At 36.9% G+C, this 25,500-nt stretch overlaps 1 protein-coding gene across 29 annotated transcripts in view; it reads right to left on the bottom strand.

The window, feature by feature from the left end:
* SCAPER (S-phase cyclin A associated protein in the ER) overlaps positions 1-25,500 on the bottom strand; it is a 557,437-nt gene that overhangs the window by 427,767 nt on the left and 104,170 nt on the right. For 26 of the 29 annotated variants that reach the window (XR_007064448.1, XM_017022273.2, XM_011521653.4 and 23 more), the window contains 2 exons: positions 24,578-24,694; positions 19,610-19,770 (listed from right to left, as the gene is read on the bottom strand). Coding sequence is in view for 27 of the 29 variants with exons in the window: in XM_017022273.2 (XP_016877762.1) it covers positions 19,610-19,770; positions 24,578-24,694 (278 nt within the window). In the remaining 2 variants the exon portion in view is untranslated. Of the gene's footprint in view, positions 1-17,562; positions 17,722-19,570; positions 19,771-24,577; positions 24,695-25,500 lie in introns of those variants that run through there. The other 3 variants (NM_001145923.2, NR_148227.2, XM_047432627.1) reach the window with 3 other exon arrangements.

A 25,500-nucleotide genomic window follows, 5' to 3' on the forward strand; every position in this document is an offset into this window, starting at 1 on the left:
CCAGCATCAACAGCATACCTTGATTTAAATAAACTATTTTTAGGATAAAATTATAGGATATTAATTGATAGCACCCAGAGGATCTAGTCTAATATTTCACCACATATACATGGAAACTAAGGGCCTACGTTCAAAGCCACACCAAAATAGCCTAAAAAAAATCACAAAAAATAGCCTAAAATAAATAAGAATCTTTCTCTAAAATATGACAATGTTGAGGTATTTATATGTATAGTGGTGCTTATAGCCCCAATTGTAAATTTTTATTGGCTAATTACAGTCTTTCAAAGCTAATATAAAGAATTCCAGTTCTGGCCAAAATGAAGTAACCATTCCTTCATTTCGGGCCCTCCATCTTACAATTAAAAACCCTAGATAAAACACTGGAAGACTCTGAGAGATAGACTACAGTAGACTGCCTTGGGATTTAGGGGACTTGAAAAGTAGCAAACTGGTGAGTTCCATGGGTTTCCTTACTGCCTCCTATGTATTCCAGACAGGATGCTTCAACAGTCTCCAAAAACATCAATAGGCAAAGACAAAATAGGCATCAAGAAATGCCTCTTTTGCCAAGACAAAGCACAGAAAAAAGGGTGGCCTAACAAAACAGAAAATCTCTTTAGCAATATCCACTCTACTGCAGCCAAACACCAATGGAACCCCTGTTCCCCATGGTTTCAGTAGGGGTAAACTGGGAGCTTAACTTCCATCTCCCACCTAACAGAAATAGATGATACTCCAATTCCCCTATCCAAGTAGCATCAGTAGGGCCCAATAGTGAACAAAGTCTCCTCTCACTAGCTCTCACCCTCACCCAGTATCAGCAAGGCCCTATAGAAAGCTGAGCTTCTGCTATCACCAGCATCAATGAGGCAGAAAAAGTAGTGGGAGGCAGAAAAAGTAGTGGGGGGCAGATTTGTTTGACACTGGGATTCCCCCTTTCCTTTTCCTTATGTCAGCAGAACCCAGCAGGGAGCCAGGATCCCACCCCAACCTACAGTAACAAGGTGATATGAGTCACTCCTGCTTCCACTTCTCCCCTCCTTAGTGTGAGGGTGGCCAAGCAGGGAGCTGAGCTTATAAAACCGGTAGGAGGAAAGGAAGTGATGCAAGTTGGTTTGATACTTTTGCTGCAAAGGTATCACAAGACCAAGAACAATCTCAGAACCTGTGAGACAATATTTGAGTTACTAGAGTTCAAGAAGGAGAGTATAGGAAAAAGAAATACTTTTCAATACTGAAAAAGTATTGAAAAAATAATGGCTGAAAAATTCCTAAATTTAGTGAAACAGAGAAAACTATGAATTCAAGAAAGTAAGTGAATCCCAAATATGATAAACCCAAAAAAGTCCATAGTAAGACACATCATAATTAAAGCTCTCAAAACTAAAGACAAAGAAAAATCATAATTAAACCTCTGAAAACTAAATACACACAAAAAAATATTGAAAGCAGTCAGAAGACATATTACCTATAGAGAAACACCAATTCAAATTACAGCAGATTCCTCATCTGAAACAATGGAAGCCAAGAGGAAGTGGCACATTTATCAAGGGACTGAAAGAACTGCCCATTGTGAATTTTATTAATATATGTGGTGAACATATCCTTCAGAATGAAAGGAAAATAAAGGCATTCACAGATAAAAGAAAAACTAAGAGAATAAATCACTAGCAAAACTACCTTTAATAAATGGCTAAAGAAAGTTCCCAAAAGAGAAATGAAATTTAACGAAAGAAGGTTTGAGGCCAGGGGTGGTGGCACATGCCTGTAATCCCAGCACTTTAGGAGGCCAAGGGGGGTGGATCACCTGAGGTCAGAAGTTAATGACCAGCCTAACATGGTGAAACCCCATCTCTACTAAATACAAAAAAATTAGCAGACATGGTGGCACATGCCTGTAATCCGAGCTACTTGGGAGACTGAGACAGAAGAATCGCTTGGACCTGGGATGTGGAGGTTGCAGTGAGCTGAGATCGCACCATGGCATTCCAGCCTGGGCAACAAGAGCAAAACTCCATCTCAAAAAAGTAAATAAATAAATAAATATTCAAAGAAGGTTTGAAATTTCAAAAAGGAAAGAACATTGCAATGGTTAAAAATGGAGGTAAATACAAGTTGCTCCTCAACTTACAATGTGGTCACAACCTGATAAACTCATACACAGTAAGTTTGAAATATCAAATCAAAAATGGATTTAATACACTTACCCTACCAAACATAACTAGCCTAGACTACCTTAAATATGCTGAGAACACTAAGAGCCTACAGTTGGGCAAAATCATCTAATACAAAGCCTATTTTATAATAGAGTGTTAAATAACTCATGTAATTTAATGAATACTATACTGATAGTGAAAAACACTTTCAGCTGTTGGGTAAGATTCAGCATGGATACTCAAAATATAGTTTCTATTGAATGCATATTGCTATCACAGCATCATAAAGTTGAAAAGTCATAAGTTGGGACTCATATGTATAATTATCCTTCTCATGAATTTTCTGAATCATCTTTCATAGTAATGCAAAATTGTATCACCAACTGAAGTAGTGCTCGATGTATACAGATAAAATATTTGAGATAATTATATTTTAAAAATGGAGAGAGTTAAGGAAACCAATTAAAAGGTAAGGTTTCTAAATTTCACTCACAGTGGTGTATGCCAATATCAGTAAACTGTGATAAATTACGTATGTATAATGTTATACCTAAAGTAACCACTAAGGAACCTATACAAATCAATATTGTTTAAAATACTATGAGTAAATCAAAAGAGAATCAAAAAAACTTTCAAGTACCCCATAGACAGGCAAGAAATGCAAAGCAGTTCAGAGACAGAAAACATAAATAATAAAATGAACAGATTTATCAATAATTACCTTAAATGTAAATGTTCTAAATATCCAAATTAAATCACACAGGCTGGGACTCCATAAACTCTTTAATTATTTAAACACATAAGTGTGAGTGTATGTGTGTGTGTGTGTGTGTGTGTATGTATATACATATATACTTATATACCTATAGTTTAAGTATGTTTTTAAGTATTAGTTTAAGTACATTTTTAAGTATACACATATGTATGTGTGGTCAAGCAGGGAGCTCAGCTTACAAAACCAGTACATAAGTATATACTTAGATATGCATATACTTAAAAATACACTTAAACTATATGTTATCTAAAAGCAACTCATCTAAATACAAAACACAGGTAGGCTGAAAGTAAAAGAACAGAAAAGATATGCCATGCAAACATTAATAAATCAGGAGAGGGTAAGTAATAGAGAATCCTGAACAAAGAAAATTACTAAGGACAAAAAATATATTGGATAATGATAAAAAGTATCATTCCATAATGAACACAAAACATTATAGGATATAGGATATAGGATACATTCCTAAATGTACAAATACCAAACAAATGAAACTGAAGATACATTGTGGAAAAACAGCAACTGACAGAACTATTGACAGAAAATCAGCAAATGTATTAATATAAAAGAAATGAATAAGATCAACCAACAGAAAATGACATATATACAAAAATCTATCCAACAACAGTGAAAAAAAATTTCAAATGCTCACAGAACATTAACCATGATAAACCATATCTGAGGCATAAAATAAACTTCTACAAGTATAAAATAACTGACATCACACAAAGTATGTTCACAATAGGAATTAAACAGGAACATTACTACAGATCTTCCACCCATTAAAAGTATAAGAAAGGAATACTACAAACAACTTTATGCCAATAAATTCAATGACATGGAATAAATGGATCAATCCCACCAAAACCACTAGCTACTAAAATTCAACAAAGATAAAATAGACAATCTGGATAGCCCCGTAACTGTTAAAGAAACTCAATATACAATTTAAAAGAAAGAAGTTTCTCTCAACCCAGATGGTTTCTCTGGCAAATTCAACTAAAAACTTTTTAAAAGATTCACACTAGTTCTATGCAAGCTATTCCATAAAATAGAAGATAAGGAAATACATTTCAAGTTATGCAAAGCTAATATTGTTACTCTGTTAAAAAAAAAAAATTACACAGTACAAAAAAATTAAATGACTTACCAAAATCTCTCATGAACTGAGACGCAAACATTTTCAACAAAATAATAGTATATGAAATATACCAATATATAAACAATTATAAGCTATGACCAAGTGAAATTTATTTCAGATATGCCATCCCAGTTCACCATTCAAAAACCAATCAACGGGGGATCTTCGACCAACATGGGTGAATAGGAACAGCTCCAGTCTGCAGCTCCCAGCGTGATCGACGCAGAAGAAAGGATTTCTGCATTTCCAACTGAGGTACCTGGTTCATCTCATTGTGACTGGTTGGACAGGAGGCGCCCACAAAAGGCGAGCCAAAGCAGGGCTGGGTGCCGCCTCACCCAGGAAATACAAGGGATCCAGGGATTTCCCTTTCCTAGCCAAGGCAAGCCGTGACAGACTGTACCTGGAAAAACAGGAAACTCCCAACCAAATACTGCGCTTTTCCCATGGTCTTAGCAACTGGAAGACCAGGAGATTCTCTCCCGCGCCTGGCTCAGCAGGTCTCACGCCCATGGAGCCTCACTCACTGCTAGCGCAGCAGTCTGAGATCCACCTGTGAGGCTACAGTCGGGCAGGGGGAGGGGCATCCGCCATTGCTGAGGCTTGAGGAGGTAAACAAAGTGGCCGGGAAGCTCGAACCAGGTGGAGACCACAGCAGCTCAGCAAGGCCTACTGCCTCTATAGACTCCACCTCTGTGGCCAGAGCATAGCTGAACAAAAGGCAGCAGAAACTTCTGCAGACTTAGACGTCCAGGTTTGACAGCTCTAAAGAGAGTAGTGGTTCTCCCAGCATGGCATTTGAGCTCAGAGAACAGACAGACTGCCTCCTCAAGTGGGTCCCTAACGCCCAAGTAGCCTAACTGGAAGATACCTCCCTGTAGGGGCCAACAGACACCTCATGCAGGTGAGTGCCCTTCTGGGACAAAGCTTCCAGAGGAAGGATCAGGCAGCAATACTTGCTGTTCTGCAACCTCCACTGGTGATACCCAGGCAAACAGGTTCTGGAGGGGACTTCCAGCAAACTCCAACAGACCTGCAGCTGAGGGACTTGACTGTCAGAAGGAAAACTAACAAACACAAAGGAATAGCATCAACATCAACAAAAAGGACATCTACACCAAAACCCCATCTGTAGGTCACCAACATCAAGGATCAAAGGTAGATAAAACCACAAAGATGGGGAGAAACCAGAGCAGAAAAGCTGAAAATTCTAAAAACCAGAGCGCCTCTTCTCCTCCAAAGGATCACAGCTCCCCGCCAGCAATGGAACAAAGCTGGATGGAGGATGACTTTGACGAGTTGACAGAAGTAGGCTTCAGAAGGCCAGTAATAACAAACTTCTCCAAACTAAAGGAGCATGTTCTAACCCAACATAAGGAAGCTAAAAAACATTGAAAAAAGGTTCCACGAATGCCTAACTAGAATGAACAGTGGAGAGAAGACTTTAAATGACCTGATAGAACTGAAAACCGTGGCAAGAGAACTTCGTGATGCATGCACAAGCTTCAATAGCGGATTCGATCAAGTGGAAGAAAGGATATCAGTGATTGAAGATCGAATTAATAAAACGAAAGGAGAAGACAAGATTAGAGAAAAAAGAGTAAAAAGAAACGAACAAAGCCTCCAAGAAATATGGGACTATGTGAAAAGACCAAATTTACGTATGACTGGTGTACGTGAAAGAGATGGGGAGAATGGAACCAAGTTGGAAAACACTCTTCAGGATATTATCCAGGAGAACTTCCCCAACCTAGCAAGACAGGCCAACATTCAACTTCAGGAACTACAGAGAATACCATGAACATACTCCTTGAGAAGAGAAACCCCAAGACACATAATTGTCAGATTCATCAAGGTTGAAATGAAGGAAAAAGTGTTAAGGGCAGCCAGAGAGAAAGGTAGGGTTACCCACAAAGGGAAGCCCATCAGACTAACAGTGGATCTCTCGACAGAAACCCTACAATCCAGAAGACAGTGGGGGCCAATATTCAACATTATTAAACAAAAAATTTTCAACCCAGAATTTCATATCCAGCCAAACTAAGCTTCATAAGTGAAGGAGAAATAAAATACTTCACAGACAAGCAAATGCTGAGAGATTTTCTCACCACCAGGCCTGCCCTAAAAGAGCTCCTGAAGGAAGAACTAAACATGGAAAAGAACAACCAGTACCAGCCACTGCAAAAACATACCAAATGGTAAAGACCATGGATACTAGGAAGAAACTGCATCAATTCACGGGCAAAATAACCAGTTAACATCATAATGACAGGATCAAATTCACACATAATAATATTAACCTTAAATATAAATGTGCTAAATGCCCCAATTAAAAGACACAGACTGGCAAATTGGACAGAGTCAAGACCCATCAGTGTGCTGTATGCAGGAGACCCATCTCATGTGCAGAGACACACACAGGCTCAAAATAAAGGGATGGAGGAAAATCTACCAAGCAAATGGAAAGCAAAAAAAAACAGGGGTTGCAATCCTAGTCTCTGATAAAACAGACTTTAAACCAACAAAGATCAAAAGAGACAAAGAAGGCCATTACATACTAGTAAAGGGATCAATTCAACAAGAAGAGCTAACTATCCTAAATATATATGCACCCAATACACTCAGATTCATAAAGCAAGTCTTTAGAGACCTACAAAGAGACTTAGACTCCCACACAATAATAATGGGAGACTTTAATACCCCACTATCCACATTAGACAGATCAATGAGACAGAAGGTTAGCAAAGATATCCATGACTTGAACTCAGCTCTGCACCAAGCCGACCTAATAGACATCTACAGAACTCTCCAACCCAAATCAACAGAATATACATTCTTCTCAGCACCACATAGCACTTATTCTAAAACTGACCACATAATTGGAAGTAAAGCACTCCTCAGCAAATGTAAAAGGATAAAAATCACAACAAACTGTCTCTCAGACCACAGTTCAATCAAACTAGAACTCAGGATTAAGAAACTCACTCAAAACCTCACAACTACATGGAAACAGAACAACCTGCTCCTGAATGACTACTGGGTAAATAACGAAATAAAGGCAGAAATAAAGATGTTCTTTGAAACCAAGCAGAACAAAGACACGACGTACCAGAATCCCTGGGACACATTTAAAGCAGTGTGTAAAGGGAAAGTTATAGCACTAAATGCCCACAAGAGAAAGCAGGAAAGATCTAAAATTGACACCCTAACATCTCAATTAAAAGAACTAGAGAAGCAAGAGCAAACACATTCAAAAGCTAGCAGAAGTCAAGAAATAACTAAGATCAGAGCAGAACTGAAGGGGACAGAGACACAAAAAATCCTTCAAAAAATACATGAATCCAAGAGGTGTTTTTTTTGAAAAGATCAACCAAATTGATAGACCACTAGCAAGACTAACAAAGAAGAAAAGAGAGAAGAATCAAATAGACACAATAAAAAATGATAAAGGGGATATCACCACAGATCCCAAAGAAATACAAACTACCATCAGAGAATACTACAAACACCTCTACACAAATAAACTAGAAAATCTAGAAGAAATGGATAAATTCCTGGACACATACACCCTCCCAAGACTAAACTGGGAAGAAATCGAATCTCTGAATAGACCAACAGCAGGTTCTGAAATTGAGGCAATAATTAATAGCCTACCAACCAACAAAAACCCAAGACCAGACAGATTCACAGCCAACTTCTACCAGAGGTACAAATAGGAGATGGTATCATTCCTTTTGAAACTATTCCAATCAATAGAAAAAAAGGGAATCCTCCCTAACTCATTTTATGAGGCCAGCATCATCCAGATATGAAAGCCTGACAGAGACACAAAAACAAAAAAAGAGAATTTTAGACCAATCTCCCTGATGGACATTGATGCGAAAATCCTCAATAAAATACTGGCAAACCGAATCCAGCAGCACATCAAAAAGCTTATCCACCACCATCAAGTTGGCTTCATCCCTGGGATGCAAGGCTGGTTCAACATACACAAATCAATAAATGTAATCCATTATATAAACAGAAAAAAAGACAAAAACCGCAATTATCTCAATAGATACAGAAAAGGCCTTTGACAAAATTCAACAGCACTTCATGCTAAAAACTCTCAATAAACTAGGTATTGATGGGATGTATCTCAAAATAATAAGAGCTATTTATGACAAACACACAGGCAATATCTCACTGAATGGGCAAAAACTGGAAGCATTCCCTTTGAAAACGGGCACAAGACAAGGATGCTCTTTCTCACCACTCCTCTTCAACACAGTGTTGGAAGTTCTGGCCAGGGCAATCAGGCAAGAGAAAGAAATAAAGGGTATTCAATTAGGAAAAGAGGAAGTCAAATTGTCCCTGTTTGCAGATGACATGATTGTATATTTAAAAAACCCATCGTCTCTGCCCAAAATCTCCTTAACCTGATAAGCAACTTCAGCAAAGCCTCAGGATATAAAATCAAGGTGCGAAAACCACAGGCATTCCCTATACACCAATAACAGACAAACAGAGAGCCAAATCATGAGTGAACTCCCATTCACAATTGCTTCAAAGAGAATAAAATACCTAGGAAACCAACTTACAAGGGACGTGAAGGATCTCTTCAAGGAGAACCACAAACCACTATTCAACAAAATAAAAGAGGACACAAACAAATGGAAGAATATTCCATGCTCATGGACAGGAAGAATCAATATTGTGAAAATGGCCATACTGCCCAAGGTAATTTACAGACTCAATGCCATCCCCATCAAGCTACCAATGACTTTCTTTACAGAATTGGAAAAAACTACTTTAAAGTTCATATGGAACCAAGAAAGAGCCCGCATTGTCAAGACAATCCTACGCAAAAAGAACAAAGCTGAAGGCAACACACTACCTGACTTCAAACTATACTACAAGGCTACAGTAACCAAAACAGCATGGTACCAGTACCAAAACAGATATATAGACCAATGGAACAGAACAGAGGCCTCAGAAATAACACCACACATCTACAACCATCTGACCTTTGACAAACCTGACAAAAACAAGAAAAAGGATTCCCTATTTCATAAACGGTGCTGGGAAAACTGGCTCGCCATGTGTAGAAAGCTGAAACTGGATCTCTTCCTTACACCTTATACAAAAATTAATTCAAGATGGATTAAAGACTTAAATGTTAGACCTAAAACCATAAAAACTCTAGAAGAAAACCTAGGCAATACCATTCAGGACATAAGCATGGGCAAAGACTTCATGACTAAAACACCAAAAGCAATGGTAACAAAAGCCAAAATTGACAAATGGGATCTACTTAAACTAAAGAGCTTCTGCAGAGCAGAGCAAACTACCGTCAGAGTGAACAGGCATCCTACAGAATGGGAGAGAATTTTTGCAATCTACTCATCTGACAAAGGGCTAATATCTAGAATCTACAAAGAACTTAAACAAATTTACAAGAAAAAAACAACCCCATCAAAAAGTGGGCAAAGGATATGAACACAGACACTTCTCAAAAGAAAACATTTATTCAGCCAACAGGCACATGAAGAAATGCTCATCATCACTGATCATCAGAGAAATGCAAATCAAAACCACATAAGATACCGTCTCACACCAGTTAGAATGGCAATCATTAAAAAGTCAGGAAACAACAGATGCTGGCAAGGACATGGAAAAACAGGAATGCTTTTACACTGTTGGTGGGAGTGTAAATTAGTTCAACCACTGTGGAAGACAGTGTGGCGATTCCTCAAGAATCTAGAACTAGAAATACCACTTGCCCAGCAATCCCATTACTGGGTATATACCCAAAGGATTAGAAATCATGCTATTATAAAGACATATGCACACGTATGTTTATTGTGGCACTATTCACAATAGAAAAGACTTGGAATCAATCTAAATGTCAATCAATGATAGACTGGATTAAGAAAATGTGGCACATACACACCACGGAATACTATGCAGCCATAAAAAAGGATGAGTTCATGTCCTTTGTAAGGACATGGATGAAGCTGGAAACCATCATTCTCAGCAAACTATCACAAGGACAGAAACCAAACACTGCATGTTCTCACTCATAGGTGGGAACTGAACAACGCGAACACCTGGACACAGGGTGGGGAACATCACACACTGGGGCCTGTCGTGGGGTGAGGGACTGTGGGAGGGATAGCATTAGGAAAAATACCTAATGCAAATGACAAGTTGATGGGTGCAGTACACCAACATGGCACATGTATACCTGTGTAACAAACCTGCATGTTGTGCACATGTACCCTAGAACTAAAAGTATAATAATATTTAAAAAAAATCAATGGGCTGAGTACGGTGGCTCATGCCTGTAATCCCAGCACTTTGGGAGACCTAGGTGGGCGGATCACAAGGTGAGGAGTTTGAGACTAGCCTGGCCAACATGGTGAAACCACGTGTCTACTAAAGACACAAAAATTAGCTGGGCGTGGTGGTGCGTGCCTGTTATCCCAGCTACTCGGGAGGCTGAGGCAGGAGAATCACTTGAACCCAAGAGGCAGAGGTTGCAGTGAGCTGAGATCATACCATTGCACTCCAGCCTGGGTGACAGGGCAAGACTCTGTCTCAAAAAAAAAAAAAAAAAAATCAATCAATGTAATTCACCACTGTCAATAGGCTAAACAACAAAAATCATCAGATCATATCAACTGATACAGGAAAAGCATTTCACAAAATCCAACATCCACTCATAATAAAAATTTGCATTAAATCATAATAGATGGTAACTTCCTCAACTTGATAAAGAACATCCATAAAAATACCTACAGCTAACATAATACTTAGTGGTGCAAAACTGCTTTCCTCCCAGATCTGGAACAAGGGAAAGGTGTCTCCTATCACCATGCTTATTCAATAGCTTGTTCAATATAGTACTGAACATTCTAGACAGTGCCACAAAAAACAAAACAAAACAAAATCATAGGAAAAAAGACATACAGACAGGAAAGGAGGAAATAAAACTGTCCCTATTTTTAGATGACATAATAGAAAATCCCAGAGAATACACATAAAAACTCCAAGAATTATATGGGTTCAGTAAAGTTGCAGGATACAAGACCAACACTCTAAATGTCCATTGCATTTCTATATACTAATAAATGTGTGGAAATTAAATTTAAAACTTATAATCGCAAAAAGAAAATGAAATAGTTATAAGTCCAACAAAAAAGTACAGAATGTCTATCTTGAAAATTATAAAATGCTGATGAAAGAAACAGAAGAAGGCCTAAAGAAATAGAGGGACATTCCATGTTCATAGGCTGCAAGATTCAGCATAGTAAAGATACTCTCTCTAAATTGATTAACTCTCTCTAAATTGATCCATCATTGTAATTGTTCTATAAACTCCCAGTAACATTTTTGATGTAAATAAGTTCATTCCAAAAATGTATATAGAAAGACAAAGGACCTAAAATAGCTAAAAACAATTTTGAAAAAGAAAAGAAGCAATCACTCTACCCAATATTAAGGCTTACCACAGAGTTAATCAAGTCAGTATAGAATTGATGGAACAAAAAACATATGAAACACAATATAGAACCCAGAAATACACCCACGCTTATATGGCCAGCTAATTTTTTATAAAATTGCAAATGCAATTCAACAGAGAAAGAAAAGAATTTTTCTTTTATTTATTTATTTTTAGACAAGGTCTCACTCTCTCCCCAAGGCTGGAATGCGGCGATCCTCCAGAGCAGCTGGGACCACAAACACATGCCACCACGCCCAGCTAATTTTTTATTTTTAGTAAAGGCAAGGTCTCACTATGTTGCCCAGGCTGGATGTGAACCTCTAGACTCAAGCAATCCTCCTGGGTTGGCCTCCCATAGTGCTGGGATTACAGGTGAGCCACCAAGCCTGGCCAAGAATTTTCAACAAACTGGTGGAGTAAATGGACATCCATAGGCAAAAAACGAACCTTCACTTAAAACGCACACTTTATACAAAAATTAACTTAAAATGGATCACAGATTTAGTAATAAAATTTTAAACTATCAACTTCCAGGCAATGTAAGAGAAAAACCTTCAGAATCTATGGGTAGACAATGAATTCTTAGACTTGATGACAAAAGTATGATCTATTAAAAAAAAACTAATCAATCATACTTCATCAAAATTGAAACTTCTGCTGTGCAAAACACCCTGTGAAGAAAAGGACAGACTGGTAGAAAATATCCAACACAACACGAGTGTCTAGAATACACAGAGAACTCTCAAAACTGAACTGTATTATTACAAACAGTTCAAGTAGAAAATAGGCAAAGACATGAGCAAACATTTCACTGAAGAAGATATACAATGGGCAAATAAGCCCATCATGTTCAACATCATTAGTCATTAAAGAAATGCAAATTAAAACCACAATGCACATATAAAAATAGCTAAAACAAAATTCTCTGGTAACACCAAAACACCACACGGCCGTGGAGAATGTGGGGTTACGGGATAGCAAAAAGTGTATGGAATTTCTTTATGAGGTGAAGAAAATGTTATAAAATTGACTGTTGTGATAGTTGTACATTATGTGTGAATATACTAAAAACCAATGAACTATATACTTTAAACAAGTAAACTACATGTTATGTGAATTGTATCTCAATAAAGCTGGTATAAAAAATGAACAGAAAAGAGACAATTTTTGAGGTTTATTTTTGTAAAACTGAAAATCTATATTATTATGAAAACAAAATAAATCTGTATATCATAGAACAGTGTGTCATACCATCACATGAATCACTAAAGGTAAAAAAATTTTATTTTCAGGAGAAAACAAAACCCAAAATGCTCATTCTTGTAACTGGTATATTAATTCATTACCCTGTTTTTGAAAATACAAAACTGTATGTTCGTATGTTGTATGTTTATTTTAAAATAAATATTATCAGACAGAAACTATAATATTTTACTTCATAGATACGGACTTTGAAATCTCTAAGTAAAAGTATGTTTACATCTGTTTTGTGAATTTTTAAAGTGCTTTATTATGAAAGTTCTCAAATACACAATATAGAGAAAACAGTATAATGAACCCCATGTTCCAATAATCCAGCTTCAACAATTATCAACATTTTGTCCCTCTCTATTTTTATTTTTTTTGAGACTGGTCTCGCTATGTTGCCCAGACTAGTACCCATAGGCTCAAGCAATCCTCCTACCTCAGCCTTCTGAGTAGCTGGGACTACAGAACTACAGCTACCCGGCCCAATTTCTGACATTCTTTTTTCAATCCATTCCCCTTCCCCATTATTTTTTCTGAAATAATTTAAAGCAAATACATTTCTCTTGTAATTGTTTAGTATGTATCTTTGTAAGAATATAAATAGGCATTTTCTTAAAAATATAACATTATGAAACTGAAAAATAATGCCTTAAATTATATAATATCCAGTCTGTGTTCAATTTTCATCTGTTTAATGTTATTAAAATTCAGCACATATAATACATTTATGCTTTATCCTTTAAATACATATAATGTAAATTAAAACAAAAATCGTAAGATGAATCATATAAAAACCACACATACCAAGAGGAAAAAAATAAATTATAAAATTAAGCATTTAACAAAAGATCTCAGTTTCCAGTTAACTGGCTCACCCTTAGAAGCACTATGCCTACTCATTTTACTTTTTAAAGGAAAGAAAAACACCTTTATTTGAAAGCTTCCTTATAGAAAGAAATGCTGCTTAAAATTGGACCTAATCTTTTAACCAATAAAATTGCCAACACAATCATATAATTTTTTAATTGAATTAATATTTAAAGCAGTCAAGAGAGGAGTATATCAAACTAGGAACTATAACTTAGGTCTCTTTAAAACTGAGAAATTAGTTACAGACAAATTATATTTTTAATAAACCTTCAGTGCAAACTATATTTAAAAATTATTCCCATAATAAAGAATGTTTAAGAACAGCAAATCATGCAATTAAACTGTCAGAGAACTTCTAAATAATTACAAGGTTAGGACAGAGTACACAAAACTAAAAATTACATTTCATTTCATAGTTTTTACACTTGTACAATTTTTAAAATTTTACAAATGTCATTAAGAACGTTGTACTAAATTCAAGTCAATATAACCAGTAACTGATGTGCACCTGGAATAATCCCAATCTTACTGTGAAATATTATTTTTATCACTGTATTTAATTCAATAATATTTTGTTTAAAATATTTACATCAATGGGGCCGGGCGCGGTGGCTCACGCCTGTAATCCCAGCACTTTGGGAGGCTGAGGCGGGCGGATCACGAGGTCAGGAGATTGAGACCATCCTGGCTAACACGGTGAAACCCCGTCTCTACTAAAAAATATAAAAAAAATTAGCCAGGCGTGGTGGCGGGCGCCTGTAATCCCAGCTACTGAGGAGGCTGAGGCAGGAGAATGGTGTGAACCCAGGAGGCGGAGCTTGCAGTGAGCTGAGATTGCACCACTGCACTCCAGCCTGGGAGACAGAGCAAGACTCCATCTCAAAAAAAAAAAAAAATGTACATCAATGTTCAAGAGATAATGTTTTAATTTCCTTGTTAGATTTTGATATTAAGGTTACATTGGCAACATTAAAACATGGTCCTCTTTTTTATCCTCAGGAAGAGTTTCTATAAGATTCACGTTATTTTTACCTTAAAAGTTTGGAAGAAGTAACACGTGAAGCCATCTTGACCTGGAATGTTCTTCATGAAAAAATTTTTAGTTACAAACTCACACTTTTTAAAAATACTTCTAAGTTCTCTTCAAGTTTTTATATTTCTTACAATGCAAATTTTAACTTGTGTTTTTCAAGGAATGTCAATCCTTTTGTTTTTCCAAATTTAGTATATAATACTCATAAAAATCCTCATCTTTTTAATATTTGTGGTATCTCTAGCAATATCCTCTATTTGATTCCTGCTATTACTCCTTGTGTCTTCTTTTTCTTGATCAATACTGTATAACAATCACTTCTTGGTCTTTTGGCTAAGATCAAGTACAGTAGTAATATGTAACTAGTGGTCTGTTAATTCTACTGGTCTATTTAAAAGAACCACTTTTTGGCTTCTTTTATTTTCTCTATTCTCACCTATAGTTTATTTCATTCTATAGTCCTTGGGTTTAACTTGCTTTTCTTTTCTAACTTCGTGAAATGAACAAAGAGTGAATTTTAGCTTTTCTTCTTTTCCAATGTGTACAATTGAGGCTAGAAATTTTCCTCAAAGCCTAGCTTTACCTTAATCTCACAAGTTGTTAAATGTTCATTTTTATTCAATTCACTTTTTCTAATTTTCATTGTGGTATCATCTCTGACTCGATGAGTTATCTAAAAGCAAATTCCAAAATTCCCAAAATTTGGGCATTATCTAACTATATTCTTTGTAAATTGATTTCTAATTTAATCCCACTGTGATCAGCAACAAACAGAATCATTTAAATCACCTGAAATTTGTTAAGACATGTCTAATGACCCAGCATGTTTCAATTTTGGTAAATGTTCCATATGTGCTTGATTATGTATTTGGACTTACAGTTATAGCCACAGTGAAGGAGCTTGTGCTAAAATTTGCCCTCTTCCTGCCAAAAACAACTATAAAAAATTAAACAGCATTGAAAAGCAGCCGATGTGGCAAATTTAAAGGAACTACAATTCCTGAGAAGAGAGAAGGACAACGAGATCAGATGAGTGAATGTGGATTCACTACAGCATTTTCTCCTAAAACACCTGGAATTTAGGGTGCAGGGGAAGTGAGTCCTGGCAGAAACCAGCATTCCCAGCCAACTGAAACAGATATTAGAATTCAGAGAATCTAAAGCAACTGGAACTTCGGGGCAAAAATCTTAGAGGGGGTGGGAAAGTACTGCAGGGAATTGAGTCAAAAAATCTTCAATTAATCTCTCCTTAAGAAGTCTGACAACTGCTAAAAAAAAAAAACTTTGCATATACAGGGCAAGACTCCAAGAAACCTAGCAGAAAGCAGCAGCTGAGAAGCTAATGAGCTAAGCTGATATTGTAGCAACTGTATAGTGCTGAGGAAAAAATTTTAAATTCAGGAATGCAGTGGCCTTGGCGAACATTCTAGCTTTTCATTTGAGACCCCAAAAGGCATAAGGACTAATTAAAACACATCAAACTTAATAAAATCTCAAACCAAACCAAAGGTCACCCAAGTCCTCCCAAAGGGAGATGGAGAACAAATGATTGGTTTTTTTTTGTCTTGCAACATGATAGTGAACAAGCAGATCACCCTCTCCTTTGGGAGGGGACTTGGGTGATCTGCTTGTTCTCTATCATCTTGCCAGACAAAAAAAAAAACCAATAATTTTAGCTGGAGGCTCTATAATCTTTAATACACAGTGTTAAGACTGTGAGTGATGCTTAAAAAAAAAAGGTCAAATAATTGTAAAACTCCAAAAAAAATGATTTTAAAGTACACCCACAGGAAATTCAGATATAAAGGTAATATTGAGGACTTTCATCCTCACTTCTTCCTCCAGCCCTCTTCTCCCATTGAACTTCCAAGCTTCCAGATTAAGAAAATTCACACTCAAGGAATACTTTCAAATCTGATATAGATCATGAGATACAGGTCTTCAAGGCTGATACTATAATTGAGTGAGTCACTGGCAGTCTTGGGAGACTGGCAATCTAAAGTTAGATTGTGGGCTCTGGTAGATTGTTCACAAAGATGGGTGCCATCAATTTCTCCCATCCCAGTGCTTACATGCCACTCCCATTGTTGAGTGGTGGAGACTGTTCACCCTCCCTTGAATCTCTGGTTGGCCCTGTGACTTCATATGATCAATTGAATATGGTAAGTGATGTTCTATAACTTCCCAACTAAGGACTTAGAAGCCTTGCAGCTTTCATTCTCTCCTTGTTGGAAGCCAGATGACATTTAAAGAAGCCCAGGAAATATCACTGAATAATGAGAGACCATGTGAAGAGAAAGAGGCTGTAAGAAGAACTTGGGTTTCTTAGCCAAAGCCAGTACCAAGCCTTCAATCATGTGATGACATCATGTTGGATACTTTAGTTTCAGCTCAACTGTCATAGCTGACACCATGTGGAAAAGAAAAGAGCCACTCCACTGAGCACTGCTCAGATTTCTGACTCAAACAATTATGTGGAAATAAAATGGTAACTGTTTTAAGTAGCTAAGTTTTGGGCTTGCTACATAGAAATAGATATTGGGAGTATTCAGTTGTGCCTCCTCTTTTTAGCACAGGATTCAGCTAGCTCACTCCGTATGTTTGTCAGTTACCACCATCTTTCTCCTTTCTAACTTCCAAAAACTTGTTCATATCATCTCTTCTCCCGTCTCTTTTTCCTTAAGTCCAATTTCTAAATCATTTTATACCATTTTAGCTGGGTTTGGGGAAGAGAACATTAAATGCATGTGGTCACTCTATCATCTTTAACTAGAATTATTTTTTATAACACAAAAATTACAAACTTCAGTTCTATAGCTACTGTTATTATATATTACTTGAAGTATACACCTGTGATATTGCAAAATATATATTTGGTCTTCATCTCAAGTCTCCTGGCATGCAACTCCTAAAATCTTTGGAATTCCCAAAATGATGTGTCTTTTTGTATGCTAATGAGTTGACAAGTGGCTGGCAGCCCCTAGGTGGCTTCAGGATGGAAGCTGGTCACTGGAAACAACAAGGCAGTATTAGAACACTGGGACTTTCAGCCCCAACTCCTCAGCCTTCAGGGAGGGAGAAAGGAAAGGAGCTGAAGGTTAGGTTGCTTGCCAATGGTTTAATCAATCATGCCTAGATAATGAAGTTTCTATAAAAACCTTTTTTAAAAACAGGGTTAGGGAATGTCTGGATAGCTGAACACTTGAAGGTTCCTAGAGGGTTGTGTGCCTGGAGAAGGCATGGAAGCTCTTCTTCCCTTTCCATTTAGCTTGCCCTAGGCATCTCTTCATCTGTATCCTTAGTAATATTCTTTATAATAAACTGATAAATGTGTTTCCCTGACTTCTGTGAGCCACTCTAGCAAATTAATCAAATCCAAGAAGTAGGTAGTCGGAATCCTGATTTATAGCTAGTTGGTCAGAGCACAGGTAAAATAACCTGAGGCTTGTTACTGGCATCAGAAGTGGGAGGCAGTCTTGTGGGGTTGAGCCCTCAACCTGTGGGATCTGACACTATCTACAGCTCCACAGCGTCAGAATTAAATTGAATTCGAGGACAACCAGCTGGTGTCTGCTGCAGAACTGATTGATTGGTTGTTGGTGGGGAGAAATCCCCACATACTTCATGGTGATCAGAGGTCACAGAAGTCTTCTGTGTTAATTGCTGTGGCATGAGAGCAGAGGAAAAACAGTTTGCTTTTCCCACAGAATGGCATAACTCGCTGTGTATAACACTGCACTGAAACCCCAAAACTGAAGACGAAACTGGTCCAAAATAAAATTTCCCAATACATTAATAAGAGTTACCATAAGTATAGATATAATCAAGATCTATTATTTCACCTCAACTAGGTGAGTTATTCATGAATAATCTGAAGTGGACTGCTTTAAACGAAACTGTGATATGTATTAATACCATGATTCCTTTAAGTTTTTTGCAATTTTGATTTTTACAACACATTTCTCTTAGAATCTTTCAAGATACAGAAACTACGTTTTCTGATTGTGTATTTTCCTACCTCTTCCTAAAAGAAGTCTTGCCTACAGTCAATTGTCTACTACTAAGTTAGTATGAAGAGGGGCAATATATTGAAGTAAGCCAACACAACTTACTGAGAAAAAAATGAAAAAACACAAAACACATCCATAACACAAAGACAGCAATGTCTTTTGTTATGTGCAATAAAACATTTCTTTCTGAACCGAAAAGTTCCAATGGCATCTTCCACTGAAGAAAACAGAAAGCAGTGTCTGAAGTTCTCTTGAACTCATGAAACAAAACTCATTATTACCTATTATCATTCTAAAATCCCAGCCTCTGTGGATGTATAAAAATCCACTTGGGACTTCTACATAAAAAGATGTTTACATAAAACATCTATATAATTCTTATGGGATAAAATTGTTCTAGGTGGGCCCTCATAATAATCCCTCTTCTAATTATTTGTATTCCTTATTCTGATGGTATAGAAAATGGATGTGTGAGCAAAGATAAACACAGAATATTATTTTGCAGTACAAAATAACAATCAAGTATTGAACAGCTGAAGTAGTAACATGCTACTTAAAAGTGAATTCTGCCTAGACTAAATTAGGCTTTTTTGTTCCTACCTGAAGTCAAAAGAATTCTAAAGGATCTTATAATGAATAAACAAAAGACCTCATTCTCTTTAAAGTTTACACATGGCAAACCTGAAACTAGAATGATCTCCATAAGCTATCTACAGTGCTGAAAAGTAGTTTTGCTCGGCTTTTAAGATAATTTTATGTTTTAATTATGGTAAATTAATATTACGTATGTTGTACAAAAAGATAAATAGGACCAATTTTAAACAAAATAAGTATCTCTATATATCCACCTGTTTACTACACAAAATGGCTAATTCGAAGTCACTTGCCATTTTTGCGTGAGGCCTTCTGCACTGTCATTGGTGGGCAAGACTGGGCGGGTGTTATTTCTGAAGAAGCAGTAGAGCCTGTATGATGAGCCTTTACCTTGTCAGCCCAACTGACACCTGTGGGAGCCAGACGAGGAGCTGGCACTGTGCCAGTTGAACCTCTATGGAGAAAAATAAACACATTTAATAAATTAAATATAAAAGAAAAACTTCTGAATATATGCTAAATGTATTTAAAATTTAAATTATGCATATGAATATCCACATATATAGAATAATAATCTGCCACGGCAATTTAAGGTAACTATATTTATAAATTTATCTTGATCTAATACTTCATTAAGTTTATATAGTATAACATATGGGAATAAACAGAAAAGGATAAAAGCCCTCAGTTGTTTAAAAGAAAATTTCACTTAAATGAGGAAGCTTTTAAAAAATTATGCATAGGTACCTTAAAGTTTTCATTTTCACTTATGTGTTTTAATAATACAAATATTGGCCAGGCACAGTGGCTCACACCTGTAGTCCCAGCACCCTGGGAAGCCAAGGCAGGTGGATCACTTGAGGCCAAGAGTTCAAAACCAGCCTGGCCAACATGGTGAAATCCTGTCTCTACTAAATAACAAAAATTAGCTGGGCGCGGTGGTGTGCACCTGTAATCCCAGCTACTCGAGAGACTGAGGCATGAGAATTGCTTGAGCCCAGGAGGCAGAGGTTGTAGTGAGCCAAGACTGCACGACTGCACTCCAGCCTGGGTGACAGAGTGAGACTCCATCTCAATTTAAAAAAAGAAAAAGACATAAATATGCATTAATTCGTCAATCTTGATAAAGACACTACTAAAAGAGGCTTTTTCTTTGTGTACATTTCTTACATGAACCAAAAGCATGATGCCTCACTGACAACATCTAAATTTGGTTCCTTTAAAGTGGAGTGAAAATTCAGTGATGTCTATTATATAATTTAATGCACAATTCTCCTTAACCTTAATAATATTTTCCCCAAATTTTTATAGTTATCCTGTGTACTCCTCATTTGACAGCAACTTTACCAGTTCCCTTTATCAAAGCTTCCAAAAATTTATCTTAGTTTTCACAAAAACAATGACTCTTTTTACACTCATATTTTAATGGTCTACTTAATATTTAAATTATGAGTTAAAATAATGAAAACAATTCACATAAGCCAAGTTTGGTAACTAACAACACATTTGAAGTAAATATATAACTCAACCAGCAGAAGCAGAAGTGAGTAGATATACAAAATGTAGTCTATGAGCCAAAATTGTTCCTCAAGCTGAAACAGTGTGTTCTACGATGATAATGAAGACTGAATTAACCCAATGACACAGTTACGTGCAGATCAATATAAGAACTTTTACCACACACGAATTAACGGCTTTGAGTGTTACAATAAACCATACACTATACAATACTCTGAACCACACACCAATGAAGTGCATTACAGGGCAAGTTTCCTTAAAATGGTGCTTGAATATATAAATATTTGTTTTCATTTGCATATATATCTTTTCCCTACTCCACTACGGTTCAATTATTAAATGGTTCCAAAGCCCATCAACCTTTAAAGGCAATACTACCTAATAACTCCATAAAGGAACTTGAAAGCAAAAGTTAGATTCTATTAAACAAACACTTCATCAGCTTTTACTAAATGCCATACAGTGCCAGGCACTTAGAATACAGAGATACGGCAGTAATCTTGCCTCAAAGAAGGTCCTAGTATAAGTACAAAAAAATAGACATTAAAAGAAAGAGTATAAGACATTGCAAATGTAACAATAAAACTGTATCCAAGGTTGAGCAGTAACAAGAGGTGAAAGCTATTAACTGTGACATGAAGTTAGGAGATAAAAAGCAGTCAAGAAAGGTCAGGTTTTAACAGAAAAAAGAAAACTGACCAAGCAAACTACTTACCAACCCTTCCATTAAACATCAGATGTTAACATTCACTCTAAAGAAGTAGAGTCCAAAACAACTTAGTCTTAAAAACAATTTTTTTGTTTGTGCGAAACAAATGTGACAATTTTTTAAAATAATACAACTACCAGAGATTGAAATACCATTTGAAGCAAACAAAGAGCTGACCAAAAAACTTAAAAGGAAAAGCTCAAGAATGAGACATCCATGGGAGGCTTTGAAAAGTTCTAGCAAATTCCTGAAAATCAAGAAGGCCACACACATATGCAGGTTGTGTGCATACCTAGGAAATATTTGAGAGGACCCTAATCTCTTACCTATGACTGGCCTTGAGGCTCTAAGAAAGGAGGAACTGACAAGCAAAGGCAGTTATAAACTGCCAGAGCATTCAAAGTATGTCCCAACAGACAGACAGAACCAGGTGAGAACTAAGAGATTTATTGGCTCAAGGTATTTAAGGAAACCTCTGTCAAATCGTTAGGTGATGTTGACAAAACATACTGTTGTATAGCTACATACAACATACATCAACATACACTCATGTTGTGTGTACCCATGAAACAAAATATACAGACGTCACAGAATGAGTTAAGTGTAGCACTAAACTAACAGTAACAACAACAGTCACAGTTAACAATCCTGGAGAGAGTAGCTATCTGATCTCCAAAGATGTCACATTTTATCATTTAAAATGCCTACTTTTCAACCAAAAAAAAAAAAAAATCAGATGATGTGCCAATAAACAGGAAAGTATGGCCCATTCACAAGAAGAGCAGCAACAGGAAGCCCGGACATTGGGCTTACTAGACAAAGACTTTAAATCAGCTATTAACTACATTTAAAGAACATCAAAGTGGCCAGGCACAGTAGCTTGTACCTGTAATCCTAGCACATTGGGAGCCCAAGGAGGGTGGATCACTTGAGGTCAGGAATTTGAGACCAGCCTAGCCAACATGGCAAAACCCTGTCTCTACCAAAAATACAAAAATTAGCTGGGCATGGTGGCATGCGCCTATAATTCCAGCTACTCAGGAGGCTAAGGCACGAGAATCGCTTGAACCCAGGAGGTAGACATCGCAGTAAGCCAAGATCACGTCACTCTACTCCAGCCTGGGCAACAGAGCAAGACTATATCTTAAAAAAAAAAAAAAAGAAAAGAAAAAGAAAAAGAAAAAATGAACAGATCCTCAAATGGGACAGCATCAAGAGTACAAACGTGTACAGTGGAATTTTCAAAGGAGAGAAGAGAGAGAAAGGGGCAGAAAAAAAAACATTTAAAGGAATAATGGGCAAAAACTTCCCAAATTTGATTAAAAACATTAAATACATATCCAAGAGACTCAACAAACTCCAAGTATGATAATCTCAGAGAGCCACACTTAGATATATCATAGTCAGAGGATCAAAAGCCAAAGACAGACAATCTTGAAAGAATCAAGAGAGAAGTGATGGATCACATTCAAGGATCCTCAATAACAGCTGATTTCCCATCAGAAACCATAGCAGCCAGAAGGCAGTAAGGAAACATAAAGTGCTGAAAGAAAGGATTATTAACCAAGAATTCTACATACTACAAAACTGCCCTTCAAAAACTGAAAGATAAATTAAGACAAACACCGAGAACATCTGTTCCTAACAGACCTGTCCAACAAGAAATACTAAAGGGAGTCCAGGCTCAAACAAAAGGACAATAGATAGTAACTCGAATCTGTATGAAGAAATGAAGACTCCAGTAAAGGACTAGAAAAGAAAACTATACAGGTAACCACAAAAGACAATATAAATGTAGTTTTTGTTTGTAGCTCTTTTCTTCTCCTGATTAAAGAGACAATGGCAAAAAACAGTAATTTTAAAACTGTGTTGAGCTTGTAATATATAAATAATGTAATTTGTATGACAATAACACAATGTATGATATGTATTAATATACAGATCTATTGCAAAGGAAATTGTTAATTCATGTTATATAATATTTGGCATAAAATATGTGAGTTTTAATCTTTGAATTACTATTTATGATTGAATATATTCCATGTCCTAAAAGCTAAACTATAATCTCCTGGAATTTTTTTTTTTTTTTTGAGACGGAGTCTCACTCTGCTGCCCAGGCTGGAGTACAGTGGCGTGATATTGGCTCACTGCAACCTCCACCCGCCCCCGCCCCCAAATAGCTGGGATTACAGGCACATGCCACGACACATGGCTAATTTTTGTATTTTTAGTAGAGATGGGGTTTTGCCATTTTTGCCAGGCTGGTCTCAAACCCCTGACCTCAAGTGATCCTCCCACCTCGGCTCCCCAAAGTGCTGGGATTACAGGTGTTTTTACTTTTTATATAGACAATTTCAAACATATCCACAATGCAGGAAGACAGGTCCCTTGGTAAACCCAGCTCTTCCCTCTCTGGCTTGCAATTTTCAGGCAAAACGTACCAAGAATGCAACATCTTGAAATAAGAAGGAACTGCCCACGACGGCCCAGGCTTTGTCCTTATCCCTGTAGAAGAGGATGCCTGCAACGCTTGCACTCAATAACCTAAGTGACATCGGTGTATAAAATCCAGAGCAGGGTGCTTTTGGGGTCTTTTGGCTGTGGTAATAAATGGAGCTCACACAAATGAAACTCCATTCCCCTGGTTAGCTTTCCTGAGTCCCAGGGAACTATCTTGCCATGGATCCTAGGCTTCTGTTGATCCTTGCTGCCTATCTGTGAGTAACAACATTGCTTTACCTAACTTGTGCAAGTCAGCATATGACTCACCAAACTCCTCCAGTGGCAACAGGGTTTATGCAAAACCTTCCATCAGATCTAGGAACCTTAGCAGAAATTGATGAGATGTTTAGAATCCTCCCCGGGATTGCTAACCAACACACAGTGTTCCCCTCCTGTGTCAGAACCTGTATACAGTATTCTGCATAACATATACATGGATATTTTTATAGTAGAATATCAGAATCATAATACTATAATAACTAAGAAAATAATTTAATGCAAGTCTTAGTAGTTTTTTCTTAGTTCATCTCACCCAAAATTTAAGCTTCGTCGAGCATTTGATGTTACATTTATTCTATCTGTTGATGGACTTGGAATCACATGGCGTCCCGGAGACATCTTCTTTACTTCCCATGCCAATGATGTTGGTCTGCGAATTCAATATATAAACCAGATTAAATTAACAGAGAAAAGGGAGAAACAAATAATCTTTTCTCTTGGTTGTTAGTGGCTGAAAAAATAATCCTACTTTTCAACAACAACAACAAAAAGTCACAACATGTGCAAATGTTCCCCTAGAGCATTGCTTACCAGAAAGTTACCATACTATCAGTGAGAAATCATAGTTGATAAACGGTTCAGGATTTTCTACCGACTGCAGCACAGCAACACTACTCCAATTACCTCAAAAAGGTCATGGGGTTACAGGGATATGAGATACGCTACTTACGATTTATAAGCTTCCAAATGCCCAGCTAAAAAAATGTTTAAAAGGCAATGATACTACTTCAATCTACTTGTCTCTGATGTCCTGGAGAGTTTGTGAAACATGTATCAAGAGAAAGAATACGGTAAGGGTTAAATGAAGAGTAGGAAAATATAAAATGTCCTTCCTCTACCTCTTAATCACTCACGAGAGTAGGATTTCACTGCTCTTTGCTGGGAAAGCTAAGAAACATAACTTAACGTCTACTCCTCCTCCTTCCTTGGCACCACAACCAATTGGCTTACAGGATGCATAACATGCCCTCAATCAGATCCCCATAACTCCTGTGGGTATCCCTGTGTCTTACTCTCCATTTCCTTTCAATCTTGCCAACTGTTGATATCTGTTTTTAAAAATTTCACTGGCAAATAGTATTTCATTGTCTTTGTTTTTTAAATTATACGTTTATTATCATTACTAGTGAAACTGAACTTTTTAACCAACCATCTGAATTTCTTCATTTGCGATTC

Source organism: Homo sapiens, chromosome 15, assembly GCF_000001405.40.
Source record: "Homo sapiens chromosome 15, GRCh38.p14 Primary Assembly".
Classification (NCBI taxonomy): domain Eukaryota; kingdom Metazoa; phylum Chordata; class Mammalia; order Primates; family Hominidae; genus Homo; species Homo sapiens.